Source organism: Homo sapiens, chromosome 16, assembly GCF_000001405.40.
Source record: "Homo sapiens chromosome 16, GRCh38.p14 Primary Assembly".
NCBI lineage: Eukaryota > Metazoa > Chordata > Mammalia > Primates > Hominidae > Homo > Homo sapiens.
The window spans coordinates 52,591,390-52,614,771 of NC_000016.10; the positions used below are offsets into that span (position 1 = coordinate 52,591,390).

Sequence of the window (23,382 nt, forward strand, 5' to 3'; positions counted from 1 at the left end):
AGCTGCTCTGTCAACCAATGTCTAGAAACATTTTTGCTGTTGAGTGCAAAGTCTTCATTCATGAGGGTGCTCTCCAAACGCATTCATTCCATGGTGTTCATTTCTTGGTATAGAAGCATATGAGGAACAGCACACTCCCTGGATCTATATACTACATTACCTGTATTAATAAGAATGCTAGGCTGTACCCATTCATTATCTACCAGCCCGCCAGACAAAATGATTCACCCTAGACTTACAGGTTGAAGTCAATTGAGTATCCTTTGAACTGGAGGGAGAGGCGCTTCCATAAAGTGGTGAGAGCTTTATGGCAGAAAGTTCTATTAATGACCCCACTTCAGTGCTTATCAGGAGCAGGCCATATAATCCCTTCCCGGAATTACATGCTGGTCGGTTCAGATAAATAACCCAGATCTCTGTCATTTATAATCCAAAACGTTAACAATTAATTTCCAAAATCAATCCTGAAGGGGGCTAGAAGCCTAAATCGCTAGGTCCAGGCAGACCCCACTCCATGAATTTCTCATGAGTCAAAATTTAAGCCTCGAAACTTGTAACTAACTGTTGTCAAGACACAGCTGACTTAGGCAATCAAGACAACAGTATTCAGCAGTAACCTGGGTGAAACATACTCTAAGTGTGAATTAATAAGTCGGCTGACACCAGGCCCCAGATGTTTCCCACTCTGGCAATATGCCTGAAGTGATGATAAGCAGATTTACATACTTAACTAATATGTTTATTTAAAAGAAATTTCCAAATCCAAAATAACATCCAGATTTCTTATTTGGCTGCAGATCAAAAGACATCCTATCAATAAAGACAGAATCCAGGATAAACCTTTTCAACATCTGCTTAAAACCAAACAACAGATTTGAGAGTTTTGGTAAAACTTAATTGCAGACAAATTTCACTGCCTCTTACATAAATATATATTTTCATGTCCCTGGGGTGGTTCTGACCTCATCAATTTTCGTGTTCACAATACACAACATTGTTCTTTTACCAGCACCAACAATTCTGCCTTTATGGAGAATTCCCATCCCAAGGTTTTCTTTCAGACTGAAGGATAAACAGACTTTCTCTCTGGCCAGGAAAAGTCGAACAAAAGTCAGGGGCATGTGCTAACACTTGGAATGTTGTAGAAAAGAAAAATCGACCCCTCTACCAGTAAGATCTTTGTTTTTCTATAAATATTAGAAAGCATTTATTTGGTCTCCATCTCCGATAAATCTGGAAGGAGAATAGAAAAGTAGAGATGCTCCTTGAGTATTACATTTTTTTTTTTTCTTTTCGGTGGTGTTGATTCCCCAAGGGAGAGCTTAGTAACTGGATCAAAGTCTTAACAGATCTGTGTGCTTGTGAAGGAGATGATAATAGGAGGGGTGTTGGCCATAGTAGCACTTATCCCTTTAGTGTGAATTAGTTCACTTTCTTCAGGTCTTAGCTGTCTGAAATTGGACCATGATCCTTGGGCACTGAGACATTTTTCTCCCATCTGGCCAGTGCTGCAATTGAGCTAAGGATTTGGTTCAGAGACTCTTGTTGCCTGGGGATCTGTTTAATGTCAAGACCGATATTAGCTGGTTGACCCTGGGGTCGGGTGACTTAGAGAGTCAGAAGTCATCCATGTTTGCTGCTGCTCCACCCTTTGAACTTAGTCATGATAAACTCCTGGGTCCAATCCTGTTACAGCCAAAATAGCAAGAAAAGAGTGGTAGAAGCAATCAGAAAAATGCATAGTAAGGCACCAATGAGATACCATCTTCCTCTTCTCAATTGGCATACACTTTAAAATAGCGGTGTTCAGTCTTTTGGCTTCCCTGGGCCACACTGGAAGAAGAATTGTCTTGGGCCACACATAAAATACACTAACACCAATGATAACTGATGGGCAAAAAAAAAAAAAAAGAATCACAAAAAATTTCTCATAATGTTTTAAGAAAGTTTACAAATTTGTGTTGGGCCGCATTCAAAGCCATCCTGGGCCACATGCAGGACAAGCTTGCTTTAAAATATCCCATTTGAAGACAGTTCAGATCTCCCCAGTTATAGATGATTTATCAAATAACTATGTATGTATGAAATTAATATATCAAAAGCCTTAAAACATTTCCAACCTTTGACCAAAAAATTGTTCTTCTAGGATGTATCTTAAGACATAATTATGATTTGTGCACAAATTTAGCTATGAAAATGTAGTTTTACTTATGATATGACAAAAATATCACAAATGACCTAGGTGTCAAACAATAGAGACCAGTTAATTAAATGATGTTCCACAACTTATATAATTATTAAAAACATTTAGGATATTTACATTTAATAAAACCCATAGTGAGGGCATTTAGATTGTTTCTAATTTGGACTTTTATGAATAAAGCTACTATGAAATTATTGTATAGTTTTTCTTTTTATAAATAGATGCTTTCATCTGTTTTGGGTAACCCTCCATGAGTAAAATAGCTGGATTATATGGGAAATAAATGTTTAACTTTATAAAGAACTACCAAACTTGTTTCCAAAGTGATTATATCATTTTACAACACTGCAACAATGTATGAAAATTCTAGTTGCTCCACCTCCTTCTCAATACTTGGTTTCCCAATCATTTTAATTTTAGCCATTCTGGCAGGTGTGTAGTGATATGTCATTATCGTTTTAATTTACATTCCCCTAATAATTAAGAATGTGAGCATCTTTTCATGTGCTTATTCTCCACTTGGGTATTTTATTTTGTGAGTTGACTATTCAAATCTTCTTTTCATTTTTTATTAGGTCATTTGTCTTATTGAGTTGTAGGAGTTCTTCATATATTCTGGATATAAGCCCTTTGTCAGATGTTTTGCAAATATTATCTCCCAACCTGTGGTTTTCATTTTCATTTTGTTTATAGTTTCTTTCTTTCTTTCTTTCTTTCTTTCTTTCTTTCTTTCTTTCTTTCTTTCTTTCTTTCTCTTTCTTTCTTTTCTTTCTTCCTTTATTTCTTTTTCTTTTCTTTTTTTTTTTTTTGGTGAGACAGTCTCACTCCATCACCCAGACTGCAGTGCAGTGGCACCATCTCACCTCACTGTAACCTCCACCTGCTGGGTTCAAGTGATTCTCATGTAGCAGCCCGGATTACAGGCACTTGCCACCACACTCAGCTAATTTTTGTATTTTTAGTAGAGACAGGGTTTTGCCATGCTGGCCAGCCTGGTCTCTAACTCTTGACCTCAAGAGATCTGCCCACCTCGGCCTCTCAAAGTGCTGGGATTACAGGCGTGAGCTACCGTGACTGGCTTCATCATAGTATCTTTCTAAGTACAGAAATTTTGAACTTAAGTTGCTTTTGAGAAAAAGAAATGTTGTGGTGCTTAGTGAAAAGATTCAAGAGCACCTGCCTTTCAACCCCTGCTCAGCCTCTGTTTTTTTACTTGGCTGCCAACTCTCTTGCTGTGTGGACTTTTCCTCATCAATCCAACCATCTGGTGCCTACTGGTGGAAGCTGTGAGTGGGTAAAGGCCAATGAGGTGTCAGGGAACAACAGTAGAAACAGAAGCCAAACCTAACCTGCCCTGGAGCTTCCCATGTGCTCTAGAAAGGGAAGTGCCTTGTCTGCTGAGGCACCTTCTAGTACTTTCCAGCTTTAAACGAAGCATGGATCTTTTCCTTCACAATTAACAAAAGCCCTTGTTCAGGTATGTTTGGCACGTGCTGTCATGCTTCTTTGTCACAAGCAAAACAAGAAACTAGGGATCCTTCAAAATTCTATTAGAAAATAGACCTTTCAGGAAATGTTGCAGAATTGGCTTTCTGGGATATGGGACCAAATATTCCTTCATTCCCTGAGAATTGACTTCTTTCTGCTGTATGCTCCAAATGAACTCCATATATACATACCTCATCATGCCTCTAAATTTTTAGGGCACACATTTCTTTACATGTCTACCTCCTGCAATTACACTGGAAGCCCCTTGAAAGCATGACCATGTTTTGTACATCTTTGTATGTATAGTGCCTGTCTTAGTCCATTTCTATTGCTGTAAGAAAATACCTTAAATCTGGTAAATTATAAATCATAGAGATTTATTTCTCACAATCCTGACGACTGGGAAGTCCAACATCAGGGCACCAGAAGATTTGATGTCTGCAGAGGGCTGTCTCTGCTTTCAAGATGGTGCCTTCTTGGTGCATCCTCACATAGCAAAATGACAGAGAGTAAAAAGGACTAAACAGACTTCTTTAAGATGTTTTACAAGGGCACTAATTCCATTCATAAGGGCAGGGCCTCATAACCTAATCACCTCCTAATGGCCCCACCTCTTAATACCATTGCATTGGTGATTAAGTTTTACAAATTTTAGAAAGACACAAACATTCAAACCATAGCAGTGCCTACCACAGAACTGATACAGAATGAGAACTCAATGGATACTACTTGAATGGCTGAATGAATGAAGTGAATTAATTGTTCGTATCCCCAAATCTGAGAGATATCTCTCTGTTTAATAATCTATTTTGTTAAAACTTTGCTCTGGAGTTGGACAGACCTGGGATCACATCTCAGCTCCAGTTCTTGCTAGCTGTGTAACTGAGACAAAGTTCTCAGCTTCCTTTGAGTCCCATGGCTTATTAAAGGGGAACAATGGTTATAATTATAATAACTACCTCATGAGTGTGTATGGACTCAATGAGTTAACACAAAGTGTGTAAGCCAGTGCCTGGTTCTTAGTAAGTGCTCTGTAAATGTTAGCTTTGGTTATTTACATGCTGTGTTTTATGTGACCCATTTCTTATGAAATAATGTTTGCTACAAGTAGAAGATGATGGTGATGGCCAAATGTGCATTATATATTTTAGTGTTCATAACAACCAGTTATTATTATCCTTTTTTCAGTTGTAATTGAAGTGACATGCGTGAGGTCACAAAGCCAGTGATAAAGCTGGGATTCAGACTCAGGCTGACCATACTTTAATCTCTAAACATAGTCACTCTGTCCCTTCACACAGGAAAGCATTCTCTGATTTGGAGGAGAGAATTCCTGTAGCCAAGGATGGTGGCATAAGCCATAGACATGGGGCTGTCAAATTGCTTAGCCTAGAAGAACAAGAGTCAGCCAACTTTGGGGACTCCCTGTTCTATCCCCCTCCCTCTTATGGCAATAGGATTAAGTTCTGTGTATTAGTCCATTTTCATGAGGCTGATAAAGACATACCAAAGACTGGGTAATTTACTTAAAAAAAAAAAAAAAGAGGTTTAATGGACTCAGAGTTCCACATGGCTGGGGAGGCCTCACAATCATGGCAGAAGACAAAAGTCACATCTTACATGGTGGCAGACAAGAGAGAATGAGAGCCAAGTGAAAGGGGGATCTCTCTTTATAAAACCATCAGATCTCGTGAGACTTACTCACTACCATGAGAACAGTATGAGGAAACTGTCCCCCATGATTCATTTCTCTCCCACCAGGTCCCTCCCACAACACTTAGGAATTATGGGATCTACAATTCAAGATGAGATTTGGGTGGGGACACAGCCAAATCATATCAAGTATATTGCAGAAAACATGAATAACAGTGGCTAAAACAAGATACAATTTTTTTTCTCTTACATAAGAAAAGAGCAGCCTAAAGCTTATTTAGCCTAAAGCTGGTATGGTGGGTTCCAGTCCACAGGACCAGGGTTCTACTTTTTTGCTCCTTGAAAATAAGCATCCAGGAGAAATGCTGTTCTTCCTCACGGGGCCTGAGATTCTCCTCTCCTACCAAGTGTCACCTTTCTGCTGGTCTGCAGAAACTCCTCTGTCTCTTCAGGCAGCAGCACCAGATACACCAAGCAGACCAAAACAACATCACAAAGGCTCTGAAAATTAAACTGTCTTTGTAACCACAGTCCACGAAACTATGCCAAGACCTCCGTGCTAAACCTAAACAGGCTGACTGCCTGCTAAAATAAAAGATTAAAACAGGATCCAGAGTCTCCTAATATAATAGCCAAAATGTTCAGTATACAGTAAAAAGCCATGACACTGAGAACCAAGCAAAACACAAGTGAACTAAAAAAGACCATCAACTGACAGCCATGCTCAGATGAATCAGATGCTGGAATTGCCTAACAAGGATTTTAAAGGAGACAGAAATGCTTCAACAATCAATTACACATTCTCTTGAAACAAATAAAAAAAATATAAAATCTGGGCAAAAAATAGTTTTTTTATTTTTTTAAAAAAAGGAAACCACAGAACTCTAAAATATGCAGAAACTCTAAAATAAAACAGAAATAGAAAGGGCATGTCTCCTAGCCAGATCAGCCATTCAAAGAAGTGCAGAAGAACTATTCAATGATTTTCACCTAATTTCCTTGGCTACTTTCCAGCTGCAAGGAATGCTGGGAAATGTAGTCTTTAAGCAGGCACACCAATGATAGACTGGATTTTTGTTTACCAGGTAAAAGGAAAGAATATGTATCGGGTTACTAAGCTACCCAGGTCTGCCCCTGACACAAAGGGCTCATACATTGGGAACAAAATCAAGGCTCTGGGAGTTTACATTGGAATATGATCTTACTGTGGATAAGACCAAAGAAATCCTGTGCACACGGATGAGGATTATAAATCCTGGTTCAGGCTGGCATGATCCACAGTTGCCACGATTCCTGTATGCCTGCAGAAAGACAACTTAATGTGGCCTAATGTTACTAACATCTCGACAGGCTCACCTTTTGAGGGAAGGCCATTTAATTACCTGATTAATTTGCTCATCTTAATTAACTTGTTCCTATTGTTGATAACCTTGTATTGATTGCTCTGCTGGTAGTAATTAGAAAACTGGTAAAGAAGTAAGGAGAGAAGCCCAAAGAGGGGGGCAGCACAGCACACAGATTGTCTTCCTGTCTCCTAAGAATCTACTGTGTAGGCTGTGAGCTTAGCATATTTGCTTCTCTTTTTAGGTAAATATGTTATAGACACAAATGATGTTCTCTGTTGATTATTTATAACCACTCCACGTTCCTTCTTAGAGTATCTGCCCTTTTCATTTTTTCAAAGACTCAGCTCTCATGAGCCCCACATGACCTGCTACCCCCATCAACCACAGCTGATTGGATAAGCACCTGACCTAGACTGTGCCAGTCACATTTGATTGTTTCAGATTTCTGAATCAGAGCATGAAGAAACAGTACCAGTTAACTTTGGATGCTGAAACTATAGGACGATGCAGACTTGGAAGGTGGACAAGGTAGCTATTTCGTGATAGCCACCATGGACCCTGTATTCCCACCAACAATCAGAGAGCACTTGTCAGTTAAGTTCACCAGACTCCTAATGGCATTATAGTTCTCCCACCAAACTTCTTGCCCCAGGGTGTATGGACTATCTCTGATTATTTGATAGAAGTTTCCCTGTACATTAGCTGACTCAAGTTCATTGCCATTTTTTGCAACCCAAAGAGTCCCTTCTATAACAAAGCACTCTCATCATTGACTTCTCTCTATCTTAGTTTTAAGTGTCTCTGGTGAAAATGCAAATTTAAAGGACCTATTAAAAACAACAGAGTGGGAGTTGCTATCAAATAAAGTATAAACTGCTAAACTGCTAAGGCCTCTATCAAGACCAATGCTGTGCTAACTCTTTCCAACCCAGTAAAACGAGGCTTTATTGTCCACCACTAACATGTCACCACCTCCCCTATTGACTTCAGTCCTTTGGGACCCCCTAACTCTCATACCCCACCCAGCTTCCGAGAACTCTATTGCCTCCCAGAAGTAATCATAGTCAACACTTAGTGGTAGTTATTTTGGCTTGAGGCCATGGCCTTGCAAAGCTGGTATTGAAGTGATGCTCTCATATCTAATTTGACTGAATTGAGTGTTCCAGTAAGACTGGTGATGTTTTCCTTGCTTCAGGGTCCATCCTAATGAGCAAATGCTGCCTTACTTTCACAGAAGGCTGCAAATGTAGACTTGTAAAGAAAATCTTTACAAACACTTCTTGGTGTCTTAGAGATCACCCAACACAATTACACATGGGGATATGCTGGGAAGTACTAAAATAAACCTGATTTATCCTTCACATATGCCTTTCATTTGCTATTGTGGCTTCAAAGCTCAAAAAAAATAGAGAGATGTTTCTCTAAACTTTCACTATTTATTAACTGAGAATGTAACGGAAGTGAAACAGCCAACAAAAATTAAAAGCAGCTTACTCAGGGATACAGAGTCATGACTATGTGGAGCCCCATATCTTTACTTCTTTGTCTAAAGTCCTCATAAGCACTGTCTGAGTTTGCATGAGTCCTACAAACTAGAACAACTCCCAACTTCATTGAGAAGAATGAGGACATCTTTGCAAAGAAGGCAGAGGAAAGCCACATGCTACTTGTAACACTTTGATGGCTACCCAGTGCCAAGGTTTTTTTTTTTTTTTTTAACAATCCTGACAGCAGAAATCTGGAAGCTTGATCCTAGAAGACTGAAGAGCCCCCAACATGACCCTGAACTCTCACATAAGAGAGGAACTCTTAGTTCGTTTGCCATTAAGAGAAAACCACAGACTAGGTCATTTATAATGAACAGAAATTTATTTTCTCACAGTTCTAAATGCTGGGACATCCAAGATCATGGGACCCGCATCCGACAAGAGTGTTCTAGCTGCATCATTCCATGGTGGAATGGCCAGAGAGGGTGAGGGAGAGAAGCAAAAGGGGGCCAAACTCATCCCTCTGTAAGGAACTCCCTCCTGAGATAACAGCATTAATCATTCATCAGGGCAGAGCCCTCACGGCCTAATCACCTTTTAAAGGTCCTATCTCTTAATACTGTTATAATTAAACTTCAACCTACATTTGGGAGGGAACAAACATTCAAGCCACAGTAGAAACCAGCTTCTTTTTCTGTTGTTAAAGCAACACTTTTTTTCTTCTCTGTTACTTGCAGCCTAACCAGATCCTAATAAATACACAAGCTTCTATGTCGACAAATATGTCTACAATGCTGTTTAAATGGCAGCATGGTATTCTAGGATAGGGAAGGGCCACCATTTACTCAACCAGCCCATTCTTGGAGGATGTTTAAGCTATTTCCAATATTTTGCTATGTTCAACAAAGTATTAAGGATCTCCCTAGTAGCTAAGCACCCATGTAAATCCTTAGATATCTTAGGATAAACCTGTAAACTAGTTTATGTGTCCTAGTTTAGCTGGGCCCAGCTGGACCATCACACATATTTAAATTTTTTTGAAACTTATTGCCAACATGCATCTCCAGAGAGGTAGTACACCAAATTATGCTCCTACAAAAGTTGCAGAAACTTGCCTGTCTATCCATACTGTCACCCACAATGGTGATTATTACTTTTTATCTGTGACAATTTGATTTATGCTGGGATTTTGCAGCCAGCACCAAGGTAGCATGTTGTCTCTCAGTCTAATAATAATTTCCCTCTCCCTCATCATCATCACCAGCACTACCAATTTCTCTGCACTATGGGTACTAACATCAAAAATGTTCCCATCACATTTACTTCATTTTGAGGAAAAGAACAGTTACTACCATTCATTCATTCACTCATCACACCAATATTACTGAATCCTACCCTGGACCAGCATTGTTATGGTAGATCTTGATAATATAGTGACAGACAATACCATCCTTCCCACCATTTACATAGTAGACTGCCTGGGGCTCATAGTCTACTCACATCTCAGCACATGAGATAGTCCCATTATCACATTCTCTTCTATCTCTCTCACAGGCACTCACTCACCAGCCATGGAGAACTTAATGGGCATTAGGTTCTTAATCCTGCTGGGTATAATTGGAGATAACCACCCTGGCTGACTGAGCACTATACCAGGCTACTCATGGATGATTTGGTTATTAGACGTAATCAGAGTGGCCCTTGTATGCTAAAAAGGAGACTCAGTCTCCATCCCATGGAAGATTACATTTTTCTGACTGCCATCCCTCAGATCTAGATGGTATTGTCTCCCTGACATCCAAATATCTTCAATCATATAACCAAGCCATGGTTCCCATCACTCTTCAAACCCCTGAGCATTCAAGCAACCCAAGGAAGTCAGAGCTCTGGAATCTTCCAGGAATCACAGTCTCTAAGGCAGATGGAATCTTAGAAGAAGTAGAGGATCCTATGTGGTAATTTCTCCCAAGTCACATTTCATGTGCCCTGATTCTACAGTAGCCATTCTCCCACCTTCGCAGCTTTCCAGGGTAGATACATGGGGGGACATGACACAGAAGCCACGGCCCTTTCCCACACATATCCAGAGTCAGCACGCAGGTGTTAGGGCTCCAAAGAGATGCCCAGATGTTATGATTTGAGGTACAGAAACCTGACAACAGATCCAAGCAAACTGGGATCTCTCTGGATTCTTGACAAGACCCCCAGTCTAGTCATAGAGGTATGCCTTTTGCACATTTGACAGGAAAAACTTATGTATCTCTGAGCAGCATTCCAAGTTCAAGAAGACAGTATGTGTACATGTGAGTGTATATGTTTACATACATGAGTATGTGTGCTGTGGCAGGGGGCTCTTTGGAAACCTTCTAGCAAATACAGGTGACGGCTTAACAGGTTGATATGGTTTGGCTCTGTGTCCCCACCCAAATCTCATCTCCAATTGTAATCCCCACGTGTGGAGGGAGGGACCTGTAATTCCCACATGTCCAGGGAGGAAGGTGATTGGATCATGGGGGCGGTTTCCCCCATGCTATTCTCATGATAGTGAGTGAGTTCTCACGAGATCTGATGCTTTTATAGGTGTTTGAAAGTTCCTCCTTCTCTCTCTTTCTCCCTCCTGCTGCCTTGTGAAGAAGATCCTTCCTTCCCCTTCATCTTTGCCGTGACTGTAAGTTTCCTGAGGCCTCCCCAGCCATGCAGAACTGCGAGTCAATTAAACCTCTACTTTTATAAATTATCCAGTCTCAGGTATTTCTTTATAGCCGTATGAAAATGGATTAATACACACATGTATGCCAGTTTCTATTCTGCTATTTTCCACAGGGCAAGAGAAAAGTTTTTGAGCTCTGCCCAGTTTTCATTGCACATTCATTTGTTTGTTTTTGTATGTTCACTGATAGAAGATAAGCCCTCTGAGAGCAGAGGGCTTGTCTATCTTGCTTGGTATTACTTCCCAATAGCCCAGAAGGGTCCCTGGCATATAGTAGTTGCTCAAAATATAAGGTAAAGAAATAGGTCATCACATTTCATTGACAAAGCCATCTGTGAGGGAACCTCTATCATTCATTCATATTCTCATTCATACTGTGTGGCTGATGCTACGCCAGACATAAGCCATAGTTAATTTTCTACCTCCACCCTGCCAGGTGCATTTTGGAGCCTAAATGTATCACCAGAGATGGAAATGTGCCCTTGTTAGCATATTTTATCTGTCTCTTCAAATCCATTTTGGAACAAGGGAGGGAAATAAAGACATTTGACTTGTCACTGGCGATGTAGATGAACTTAGTCCCCCCACCCCACATATACACACACTCACACATATGGGATTCAGTGGAAGAGATGTGGTTCTACTCTACACTGACATCCCTGCCTTTCTCCACAGTGTAGGCAGGCAGGATCCCATTTGACTTAAGCACATGTCCCAAGTTCACCACCTCTCCTCTCCCTCCAACACAGAGTCTCAGCTTAGACTGGGCCTCATCCTCCACAGGACAAGTCTCTCTCATCCTAAGCTGGGAATCTCCAACAGGGAGTATACCTCCAGCCAAGAATCAGGCTAGAAAGCCGGAAGCATGCCTGCAGGCTCAGTCTTCTCAAGGCAAAGTTGGGAGAAGGATCCCCAGAGGGCAAAGTCTCCTGCAGCCAGCTCACTGATGATTGACACCTAGGTTTACTGGGGCTGGCTTCAGGGCCTGGGATCAGGCACACTGCCATCTCAACAGATGGGCACATGGGTAGATAGCCAACAGATAAAGCATGAGCAACAAATGTGTTTGTCAAGGGTAGTTTTTCCAGGCAGAAACATCAAAACAGGCTCATCTTTCTCTTTTCTTTTTTTGAAACAGAGTCTCACTCTATCTCCCAGGCTGGAGTGCAGTGGCACAGTCTTGGCTACTGCAACCTCCACCTCCCAGGTTCAAGCATTTCTCCTGCCTCAGCCACCCAAATAGCTAGAATTACAGGTGCACACCACTACACCCAGCTAATGCTTATATTTTTAGTAGAGACGGGGTTTCACCATGTTGTCCAGGCTGGCCTCGAACTCCTGAACTCAAGCTATCTGCCCACCGCTGGGGCCTCCCAAAGTGCTGGGATTACAGGCATGAGTCACTGTGCCTGGCCCAAAATGGGATCATCTTGAGTCTTCACTCCTGTGCGCCTCTGCTGGAGGCTGGAGCCTGAGTAGCGGGAGGAACCTGAAGAAGAGCTATCTAATTCCTGCAGAAGGAGGAAGGGGTGACACCAGGGAGCATGAGGTTAGGACACCCCTGGGGGGAAACAAAAAATGCCACCCCTTATTTTTTATGCAGTCAACAAGAGGGAGTGAGGTTAGACATGAAATAGATCCCCGGGGGTCTTGCTTCCTCTCACAGCTGAGAAGTTGTTAAAACCCATTTTCTGACACTCACATAGCTATGATGAGCTTTGAAAAAGATCTGGAAATGTGCAAAACATTGACAACTGCCCTGCAATCTTCTCCCTGGGAAATAAGGAGCTCTATCCTCATGAGCTATAAATTATGAATCTCATGAAAAGTATCCAGAGGTAAGAAATGTCAGCCCGTGTACTGATACTGCTTTATCCCCACTCACGGCAGACACTGCTAATCGGTTACAATGTATTTAGTATTTTCTCACCAACCCAAGGTTGTACTTCAGACCTTCTTTTCAATAGCCCATATATTCACAGGGTACAACATTCAAAAAAAAAAAAATACAAAAGGAGAGATATACTTGAGAAACCTTCCTCCCACCCCTGACCCCAAACCACCCTGTTCCCCTCCCCAAATGGAGACCAAGGTACCTGGTCTCAATCTCTTGTGAGACAGCATTTTAGGAAACCAATAGCTTTGAAAGGTGAAACTGATCAGATTTAGAATCTAGTTCCATTTCAGAAGAGTGACCCCACTGTGCTTCAGCCAGCAGTGAGCTGAGATGGAGCAGACTTAGTTCTGTAGCAATGACAGAGGTCCAGAAAACACTTTACATCGAGGGGCACTCCTTTGCCTACAATGACCAATATGTTCCTGAGCAACATCTGGACTTCACAGGGGCTGGTGTCCACTGTGCAGGGCGGCACTGTCAGGGCTCTAGCCTCTGCCAGCAGGACCTTTTCATGGACTATCTTAGGCTTGCTCTTAGGGATCGGGGTCAGATACCACACTGGGAAATTTCACAGGGCCGTGAATGTTGATGAAGCCTTGGGAAAGCAAGGGGCAGCAGAGCAAGCACTTGGCCCGGGAATCAGAAGAATCTGGGTCCTTTAATCAGTTCTGGTATCTTTCAGCTGTGTGACCTTGAGAACATCATTTCCCTTGTCTGGCATAAAACGAGGGGGCTGCCCTGTTGAAGAGCAGTAGAGAGAGTGGTTACACCCACAAGCTTTCAAGCCAGGCCTGTTAAATTTGAATCTTCTTTACATCACCCACCAGCTTAGTGACAGTATGCAAGACACAGAAGCTTTTGTAACTTTCGTTCCCCGCAACTTAAAGTGAGGGGAATAATAGTACCTACTTCATGAGGTTACTGCAATAATTAAATGGGTTCACAATACATTTAAACCATGTGGCAAATACCTAACACATGATAAGCACTCAATAAATGGCAGCTATTATTTTATGATGACTTCCAAAGGTGGCATTATATCATAACAGGAATAGACAGAGGAATGAACTACCTATTTTAATACTAATACTCCTGATGACAACTGGCTACCAAGTTATTAGAAATTTCTCACTTGGCTATGGCTGCCACCCGCATACTCCAAAAATAGTGTCATTAATTGTTGCAGTCAATGATTACCATTAGGGAGGTTTAGGGTGATGACCATCTTCCACCAAAATAAAGCTTTTACCTTATCACCAAAATCACCTAGGCCAATAGAGAGATTAGAAAATGCTTGCAGGGAAACCTGGCATTTGGATCCTAAACCCTAAAGATGGGGTCATGACTTCTCTTCTCTGTAAACAAAATGTAGGAGATCTGTTTGGTGGTGAGAGGGTTCGGGTCTCATGTTATCAAAGTGGCATCAGACTTCCATTAAGGCCTCCTCTTGATATGTATTATTAGGAAAACTGTTATGAGTTCAATCGTGTCCTCTAAACAGATATGTTGAAGTCCTAATCCCTGGTACCTGTGACTATGCTTTTATAGAGTCTTTGTAGATGTAATCAAGTGAAGACAAGGTCATACGGAATGAGAGTGGGTCCCAATCCGACATGGTTGATGTCTTTGTAAGAAGAGGAAAAGAGACAGACATGCATGGGGAGAAAGCCCTGTGATTACAGAGGCAGAGCTTGGAGAAATGTGTCTACTCCAAGCCGAGGAATTACAAGGATTTCCAGCTAACACCAAAAACTATGAGAAAGCATAGAACACATTTTCCCCTACATCCTTCAGAGAGAGTATGGCCCTACAGACACCTTTATTTCAGACTGGTAGCCTCTAGAACTATAATGAAATAAATTTCTCTTGTTTTAAACCACTCAAGTTTGTGGTAATTTACTACAGCAGCCCTAGGAAACTAAGACAGTCCTTGATGAAGGTAGATTGGGAGCTTGGTTTTAAAAAAAATCAAGGAAAGATAAAGGCACAAGATCTTTGGGGAAATCTATGACTATTCTCATGTGCACATATTTAGAGAATTATGCGCATAAGGACTCTACCAGTAACATCCTGCTAACACAATTCTCATTGTAGGGACGACCTGGCTATTCCTTCACACTGGAAAGCTCTTGGTCCTGGACCTTACCAGGTAACCTTCCTTCTAGCATTCAGCTTCCTGTGTAAATTTCACCTCCTCTGAGATGCCCCCATGGACTGTCCTCTTAATAGTAGCTTAAAACTCTAGATCATCTTTGTTTTTTTCTATTATGTTGTTCCAAAATGTAATACCATATGAAATCCTCTTGTTGACTTGCTCTTGTTTGACTTACCTGACTCCACTGTGGTGGGATGTGAACACCACTAGAGGATGGTGCTGTCTTGGTTTCCACCGTCTCTAGAACCCAGACAAGAGCCTGGCTTGTAACAGGCACACGATTCCATATTCCATCATGTCTAAGATGATCTCAATTGTGAGATGCATCACCATTACTGTGTGTGACATTAAAAAAAAGTGCTGCTGATTAAGCTCCAACCTGACAATGATGAAGAAACATAACCCAACCTTAGAGATGTTAAATTTCAAAAAAAAAAAATGTGTCTTAGATACAACGAAATATGGTAAAGGTTTCCACACAGCGTTCTGTTCTTGAAATAATCACTCAAGCCCTGTAAAGACCAATGTGGAAGTTGTAGCGCTGCCCCTGAGCACAGTTCTCAGAGTGTGAGTGGAGGGAGAGAGTAAGGTAGGTGTCAAAGAGGACCTGCAGATGGGGCCAATGCATCTGCAGCAAGGAACATTCTGGCCATTTCTGAGACTCATGATGATGTCACAGAGCTTTAGAACCCTAGTATACCCTAGACCACCCAAACGTCCCACAACCTATTGAATCTCACAACATATGTTTGGATAGCACTTCCCAGCCTACAACGCACTTTCTCAGGGATTCTCAAACTTCCTCCCACCTCACATCCTTTTAAGGCAAGTGAGTGTGGGAACTCTGGTTCAGGGAAGTTAAATCACTTGCCTAAGGTCATGCAGATCATTAATGCCATAGCCAAGACCTGAGCACGTTCTCCTAAAGCCAGGTCAGGCCTCTTGTCACATACTCCATTGACTCTAGTGCCTAACCCATGCTCATCACAGAGCTCACATTGGAACCATTGTTAAACAGACTCTAATGGAAATGACTTCGTTCAGCTGGTGAACATTTTGGAAGATTCCAGAAAAACATGAACAAGTGTTTGAGTGCTCTTAAGGGGATTGTCTAATATCTTGGCTCCTGACTCATCCTTAGAAGTCTTCCAGCCACCTTGTACCCATTTCAAGCCCAAGGGCTCTTTAACGTAAATGAGTTACTGAGCAGGTGAGAGAAAAAGTCTGGGCCCCTTTGAGGGGGTATATTTTGGAGCAGTTTGCTGTTTTCTTAAAGCTTGGGGAAGAGTGAGCAGTAATCAATAGTGAAATCTGCCTGAATCTCGGAAGCTCGATGAAGGTGTTTTTGAAGCACATCACAGAGCTTGATTTTCTGTTATTTAGTGCCAAAAGTTATTACCTCAGCAGCAGTGCAATGTCTAATTTATACCAAATTGTTAGCTGAAATCTATTAAAGTTTATTAGCCCCATCTCAGAATACAGTAACATCTCACTGCTTCAGTTCCTCTTTAAATTGAGCAGCTGGTTTAACTCTATTAGCTTTGAGGCTGAGATAAACTGGAGTCCACAGGAGCCATCCACAGCGCTGGGGAGAATGAGTACAGATGAAGCTCAGGGTATTTGGGGTGTTAGCTGCTACCAAACTGCTTCAGGCTTCATCTCTCTTGCTGCAGCCTCTACCCTGTTATTGTATTACCTACAGGATAGGGAGCGTCCTCACAATTCAGAAAGCAGTTGTCAATGGGCTGGAGCTTTCAGCTGATAAGGAGGCATTTCTGGAATTGTAAGGGTGTTGGCCTACCACCAGGACTTGGGGCAACTTGAGTTGTCTGAAAGGAGAAGGGATTTTTTTATTTTTTTGAGACAGAGTTTTGTTCTTATTGCCTAGGCTGGAGTGCAATGGCACGATCTCAGCTCACTGCAACCTCCGCCTCCCACGTTCAAGGGAGTCTCCTGCCTCAGCCTCCCAAGTAGCTGGATTATAGGCACGTGCCACTACACCTGGCTAATTTTGTATTTTTGTAGAGATGGGGTTTCGCCATGTTGGTCAGGCTGTTCTCAAACTCCTGACCTCAGGTGATCTGCCCTCCTGGGCCTCCCAAAGTGCTGGGATTACAGGCATGAGCTACCACACCCAGCCAAGAAAGGGATTTTTTAAGACATTCCCCAAATTGCCAGCAAGCCCATGACGTCTAGAGCGCACTTCCAGCTGGATGGAGGAAGGACAAAAGATCTAACTTTACCAATAGAGAGATATTCTGACCTTAGGTCTATCCTATCTGTCTCCAGGGTAAGGATCCCAAAGAAATCGGGCCACGCCCATATGGAAGCATTTAGGTAGAGGCTGAACGACCCTCCACAATGATACACAATGTTCAGTCATTTTGGACAGCCTGAAGCAGTGGGCATATTGGCCTTAAAAGTCACCCAGATCTGGTTGGAAAGCCAACCTCATTGCTTACTGGCTGCACAGTCTTGAAAAAGTGACCTGGCATTCTTGGTCCCAGTTTTCTCTCCAGGAAAAATGGCTTTTCATGACAGTTTGAGTATTGCACATGAAGCATCTAGCAAAGCCTCAAGCACATGGTAAATATGTAATCAGCATTAGTTTCCTTATCTTTACCTCTCTTGGCATTTTACAGTCATTGAGTTAATTATATTTTCATTTTGCTCTATGCTTCTTTTAAGCTCCCTCGTGCTCATTATCTCAAGTCTGAAAAGAACCCAAAGAAGTAGGTGGAGCAGGAATTTATAGCCCTGTTTTACATGTTAGGAAATCCTTGATTTAGAGAGGTTAAGAAACCCACCCAATGTCACACTGTTCCTGTAGAAGGAGGTAAGAAGGCTGAGTTCCTAAATTCCACTCCAGCTCACCACGTGGTTATGATGCCGCAGAGTTCTATAAGGAAGATGGACTTCAGAAAAGCAACTAGCACACCAAGCCCCAATGTTAGGGCCAGAGATGTGTTGTCTCAGTGGTAGCAGAAGCAAATGTTATTAGCTCCACTTTATAGCTAAGGAAAATTAAGCCCAGGAAATGAGTCCAGTGGAAGGAAGGCTTTCATTCCTTCATAAATATTAATTCAATAATTCAATAGAGTCTCCATACCTGCACTGTCTTAGGTGCAGGGAGATACCATGATAAAAGGGCAGACAATGTTGCTGCCCTCAAGGAGCTGACATTCTAGTGGAGGAAGACAGATGCAAAAAGGAATGTATGCCCACATCACACAACTAAATTGTGGCATGATGGAGTTCAACAAAATATGGATACAGAGAGCAAGGTTTGAGGGTAAATTTAACCAAGGTAGGGTAATCAGAGGAGCCTGATCTGAAAAGGCAGGAATTAAAATAAGCTCTAAAGGATTATTAGAAACTAGGGAGAGAGGAGCTGACTGGTAGAAATGGGGAGTGTTTCAGGGAGAGCAAAAAGCCCATTCAAAAACCTCATGCAAAGAAGAGTTGGGCAATTTGAAGAATTGAAATGAAACTCTAGGACTGGGCACGGAGAATGTGAAGAAGTGAGGAGGGGTTGGAGCTGGAGAGATAGGTGGGACTGGATCCCATACAACTTGGTAGGTCATAGATTTTATTGTAAGTAAAACTGGAACCTCAATGGCAGGGTATTAAACAAGGAAATGACATGACTAATTTATAATTTAAGATTACCCTCTGCTGTAGGACGAAAATAGAGTGGGGGGGTTGTGGAAAATGGACCTACAGCATAGTAGGTCATGGGTTTTATTGTAAATAAAATTGGAACTTCAGTGGAGAGGTATAAAACAAGAAAGTGACATGATTAATGCACAATTTAAGAAGATTGCCCTCTGCTCTAGGGTGAAAAATGGATGGGGCAGGGGGCCAAGCATGGAAGCAGGTTGGCAAGTTGGGAGGCCATTCCAGTTGGGGCAAGAGATAATGATGGCTTTTCTTGGACTGGTAGAGACTTAAGAGGAGGCTTTACTGCAGACAGAGAGTGGTTAAAGCTACAACCAAAACCAGAGCCTGGGTCTCCTAATTGTCCAGCTGGATCCTGTAAACTGACCATGCTCTGATGGTATATGGGACAAAGGAAGATGACTGGTGGGGAAATAAGAAGGTCATTAAGAGAATACATCTAGAACACTGCACCCAAACTAGAGTCCACAGCCCCTCAGGGTCCACACACATTCTCTCCAAAATAAATTTTCATTTCACATGAAGTTTCAGAGACAAGCAAGAATAAATCAATGGAAGCATGTTGTGGATTATTTGCATGGCCACCTTCTCATTGAGTTCAGCCATATGATTTCAGAAAAGACTTTGCTTTTGTAATTTGCCATCCTCTAGGCTCCTAATACTACTACCTGTGTTACCTGCAGAAAAGAACAGAGAAAGATCCAGTGCAAAAACTCATAGGAAATGATCAATTCATGCCAAGTGATGAGAACTAGAGAAGAGAGATGAGAGCATTGTTCATACACGATGGTCTAGGTCTCCTACCCCAAGAGAACTTGCAACAAAGCCCAAAGTACAACAGCCACGTTTAAAGAGAAGATTCCATTTCAGCCAGACAACATGATTCATCATATTTATTTAATATTGTTAATTTGAATTTTATTAGATCTGTACTGATGTTTGTATTTAATTTCTAATTTGTTTTGGTTTCATAATTCACTAAAACAATAAGCACAAAGAGTTTCTATCTGACTTTATATATTAACATTTTAATAAAAGTCTTTTATATACTCATTGGGATCCATGGTAATTATTTTCCTCTCAAAAGGGTCTGTATATAACTCAAGTTTGAGAAACCCTAGTCTCAATGAAATAAAAATCAAACAATGGGCTGCCCTATTCTAGACTACATGATTTTGCTTTTTAGTGGTGGCAGGGAGGAAGAAGGAGTACCAGGAAGAGGAATCATTTATTCTTCCTGGTACAACTCCCAGAAGGTGCAAAATCTGCTAAAAGTTAAGTTTAAAAGAATGGGCTTAAATTATGTTAATTTATTATTGGACTCTCCCATTACAGTAGAGTATAGTTTCTACCTCTTAAAATGAAAAGCAAGTCGTGGTTTTCAGAATCCCATAGGAAGAAGCTCAGTGAGTTCAACTCATGAAGTTCTCCTTCTAACACTGGAATGATTGTGGATTCTTGGGTCTGTTTCCTGACAAAGTAGTTAGCTTGAAGGCAAGCGCCATGCCCTGTGGAAACTAAGTTCCTATTCCCCTTCTCAGCCTCACATGGAGTGGAACTGTGGGTAAAATCATCAGGACTTTTAAATTTTTCTTTCTCCTCCTTCTTTTGGTTGTCTCCTGGGCCTATCATGTAAATAAACCATGCACATAAGCAGCAGAATTCTGAAGCTATTGTACAGGGTAATGTTGACTTTTCGTGAAGGAGAGGAGGTCAAAAACAGTGGGTGTTATTTTCTATGTGGCACTCAAAGTATTCAAGGTAAGCTTGAGTATTCTGGGGTGAATATTTTTTAAAAGAGACAAAGATAATTTTTGCCCAAGACTTGCACTGATGAACAGTGCCATTCATCAGCTCTCTGATGAAGCATATAGAAATTCCAACACCTAAAAAATGGAGGCAGGACATCAGAAGACCCAGACCAGGAAAGTGAGCTTGGACAGAAAGAACAGGTGACTACTGATGTCTTGACAGTGCTTCTGTTCACCCAGCTCCAGGATGGAATGGTCCATCCAAAATTCAAGAGAGAATGAAAGCCAGTTGTGATAGCCCAGAGAAGGTGGTGGCTACTAAAACAGATTTCCTTTGTTTTGTTCATCCCACTGACCTCTGTCACTCGTCATTCCCAAGGTACACAGAGCGCATTCCTGCCCCATTGCTTTTTAGGTAAACATTAAACAGCACTTCACATGGAAAGAAGCCAAAGTGTTTGATAATTCATCAGCAGCAGCAAACCTGAGTGTTTCTGTGCAATGCAAATTGCTTTGGCTTCCACACAGCTCCTGTCGCTTCAAGTGCGGATGGTAAATAGCCTTCCTTGGGATTACTATCAAGTATTCATTTTAACAACATTAATTTACAACGTGCTATCCCACTTTACATTGTGCTACATGACTTATTCACAGAGCCAGCCCTTCGGCGCCTGATGTTGATTCATTCTAATCACCGCACTTGCCTGTGATTTTTAGGTTAATGGGACCTGGACTGGAAAAGGATTGTTTGTGTGGGAATCATTCATGGCAAAGGCAGTGACACCTCCTTCAAAAACCTGTGTCTTTCTGGCAGAGTGTTGCTGGAGATGGCCACTGGAGAGGCTGAGTCAAATCAATCTCCTCACCTGAGGACTTCCTAAGACCAGCGCACTGAAGGACCAGCAGCAACAACAACAATAATGCTAATGCTCCCTTATGGTAAGTTACACTTTCCAAGTCCCATCTAATCTATTATTCTCACAATAACCCTATAAGGTAAATACAGTGGGTGGTTTAAGAGTATGGGATCTGGAGACTGTGTCTTGGGTAGAAACTTGATCTATTACTTTCTAGCCAAGTGACCTTGGGCAAGTGACTCAATCTTTATTTCCCTCAATTTCCTCATCTTAAAAAATGATATATAATAGCTGTACATATTTTGGGGGTACACGTGATATTTTGAGACCTGTGTACAATCCAGAATGATCAAATCAGGATTGGGATACCCATTACCTCAAACATTTATCATTTGTTTGTGTTGGAAACAGAACAATTTTTCTCTTCTGGCTACTTTGAAATATGCAATAAATTATTATTAACTATAATTTCTCTACTGTTCTATAGAATATTAGATATACTATATTATATTAGTAATATGTAGTATATTAATACTATAATACTAGAACTTATTCCTTCTATTTAACTGTATGTTTGTATTCATTAACCAACTTCTCATCCACCCTCCACACTACCCTTCTATGCCTCTGATAACCATCACTCGACTATCTAACAAATATGGTATTTGTCTTTCTTTGCCTTTCTTATTTCACTTAACACAATGACCTCTAGTTCCATCCATCTTGCTGCAAACGACAGGAGTTCTTTCTTTTTTATGGCCGAATAGTATTCCACTGTGTTTATATGTAACATTTTCTTTGTCCATTCATCCACTGATGAGCACTTAGGTTGATTCCATTTCTTGGCTCTTGTGAACAGGGCTTCAGAGACCATGGGAGTTCAGATACTTCATCTTTAAAATGGGGATAGCAATCATAGTTACTACACAGGGTTGTTGGCAAGTAAGTGGATTGTTACAGTAAAGCAGGTAGAACAGAAACTGGCACGTGGATTATGGTAGTTCATAAACAGTACTGTTTCTCTTCTTTCCTGTCCAGGACAAGACTGCAATTCTCTGCCTGCTGAAGCTCAGCTATGACCACGTGACTTGCCTTGGCCAATGAAAGAGGAAGAGTATGTAACACTGCTGAATGGAAGCAAGTGGCCCCTGCCCCTGCTGCAGAGATTCTAGACATGTGTGCCATGCTGGAGCAAGGAGACAGGGAGTCCTGGAGAAAGGAGACATGGAACAGAGCTCCCAGCCCAGTCAATATGTAACATGAGTGAGAAATAAATAACACTTTGTTGCTAGAAGTTTTTTTTAAACTGAAGTATAACTCAGCTTCCCCTGACCCATGCAGAAAGTCATCTATCAATGTTAAGTATCACTAAATTTATTTTACAGAAGAAGAATCTAAAGCTCAGAGTAGTGGTCTCAATATCACTCAGCAATTATGTGATGGAAGCATACTGAAGGCCCACGTTTTAAAGTGGACACCAAGGGGAATATAGCATAAATAGAAATTTTCTAACTGCAGGGAATTCTTGCTATACAACTGCAAAGAATAGGCCCCACTACTTCCTAGCTGTGCCTCAATTTCCTGATCAGTTAAATGGGACTAATAAAAGAGCAGCTAGTGGCTGGGTGCGGTGGCTCACGCCTGTAATCCCAGCACTTTGGGAGGCCGAGGCGGGCAGATCAAGAGGTCAGGAGATCGAGACCACAGTGAAACCCCGTCTCTACTAAAAATACAAAAAATTAGCTGTGCGCAGTGGCGGGTGCCTGTAGTCCCAGCTACTCGGGAGGCTGAGGTAGGAGAATGTCGTTAACTCGGAAGGCGGAGCTTGCAGTGAGCCGAGATCGCGCCACTGCACTCCAGTCTGGGCGACAGAGGGAGACTCTGTCTCAAAAAAAACGACAACAACAAAAAAAAAAAAAAAAAAAAAAAAGAAAGAGTAGCTAGTGCAAGAGATGGAGAAGGGATTAAATGAAAATACATGTAAATTGCTCATAAGATTATCTAGAATAAACCGAACATTCAAAAATGTTAGTTACTATTATTATTAACAATTGCTATTATAATCCTAATATCACCTGTTTCTCATCAGTCGGTGGATACAAGCAATTACATTTACATAAATATGTAAAGCAATAAAGCCAAACCAGAGACTCCTAA

The 23,382-nt window shown here is 41.4% G+C and overlaps 2 long non-coding RNA genes across 14 annotated transcripts in view; one reads left to right on the forward strand and one right to left on the reverse strand.

The window, feature by feature from the left end:
* Window positions 1-15,586, reverse strand: part of CASC16 (cancer susceptibility 16) — a 54,889-nt gene extending 39,303 nt beyond the window's left edge. Inside the window, exon 1 of the long non-coding RNA NR_033920.1 lies at window positions 15,115-15,586. This is a non-coding gene — a long non-coding RNA (cancer susceptibility 16). The remainder of the gene's footprint in view (window positions 1-15,114) is intronic.
* Window positions 15,587-15,670: 84 nt separating this feature from the next.
* LINC03064 (long intergenic non-protein coding RNA 3064) lies at window positions 15,671-23,382 on the forward strand. 13 transcript variants are annotated; one of them, NR_184326.1, is made up of 3 exons: window positions 15,671-16,149; window positions 21,086-21,307; window positions 22,264-23,382. It is a non-coding gene; the product is annotated as a long intergenic non-protein coding RNA 3064 (long non-coding RNA). The 13 variants fall into 13 exon arrangements; NR_184325.1 differs by having other exon boundaries at window positions 21,183-21,307; NR_184327.1 differs by having other exon boundaries at window positions 15,671-15,764; window positions 21,183-21,307.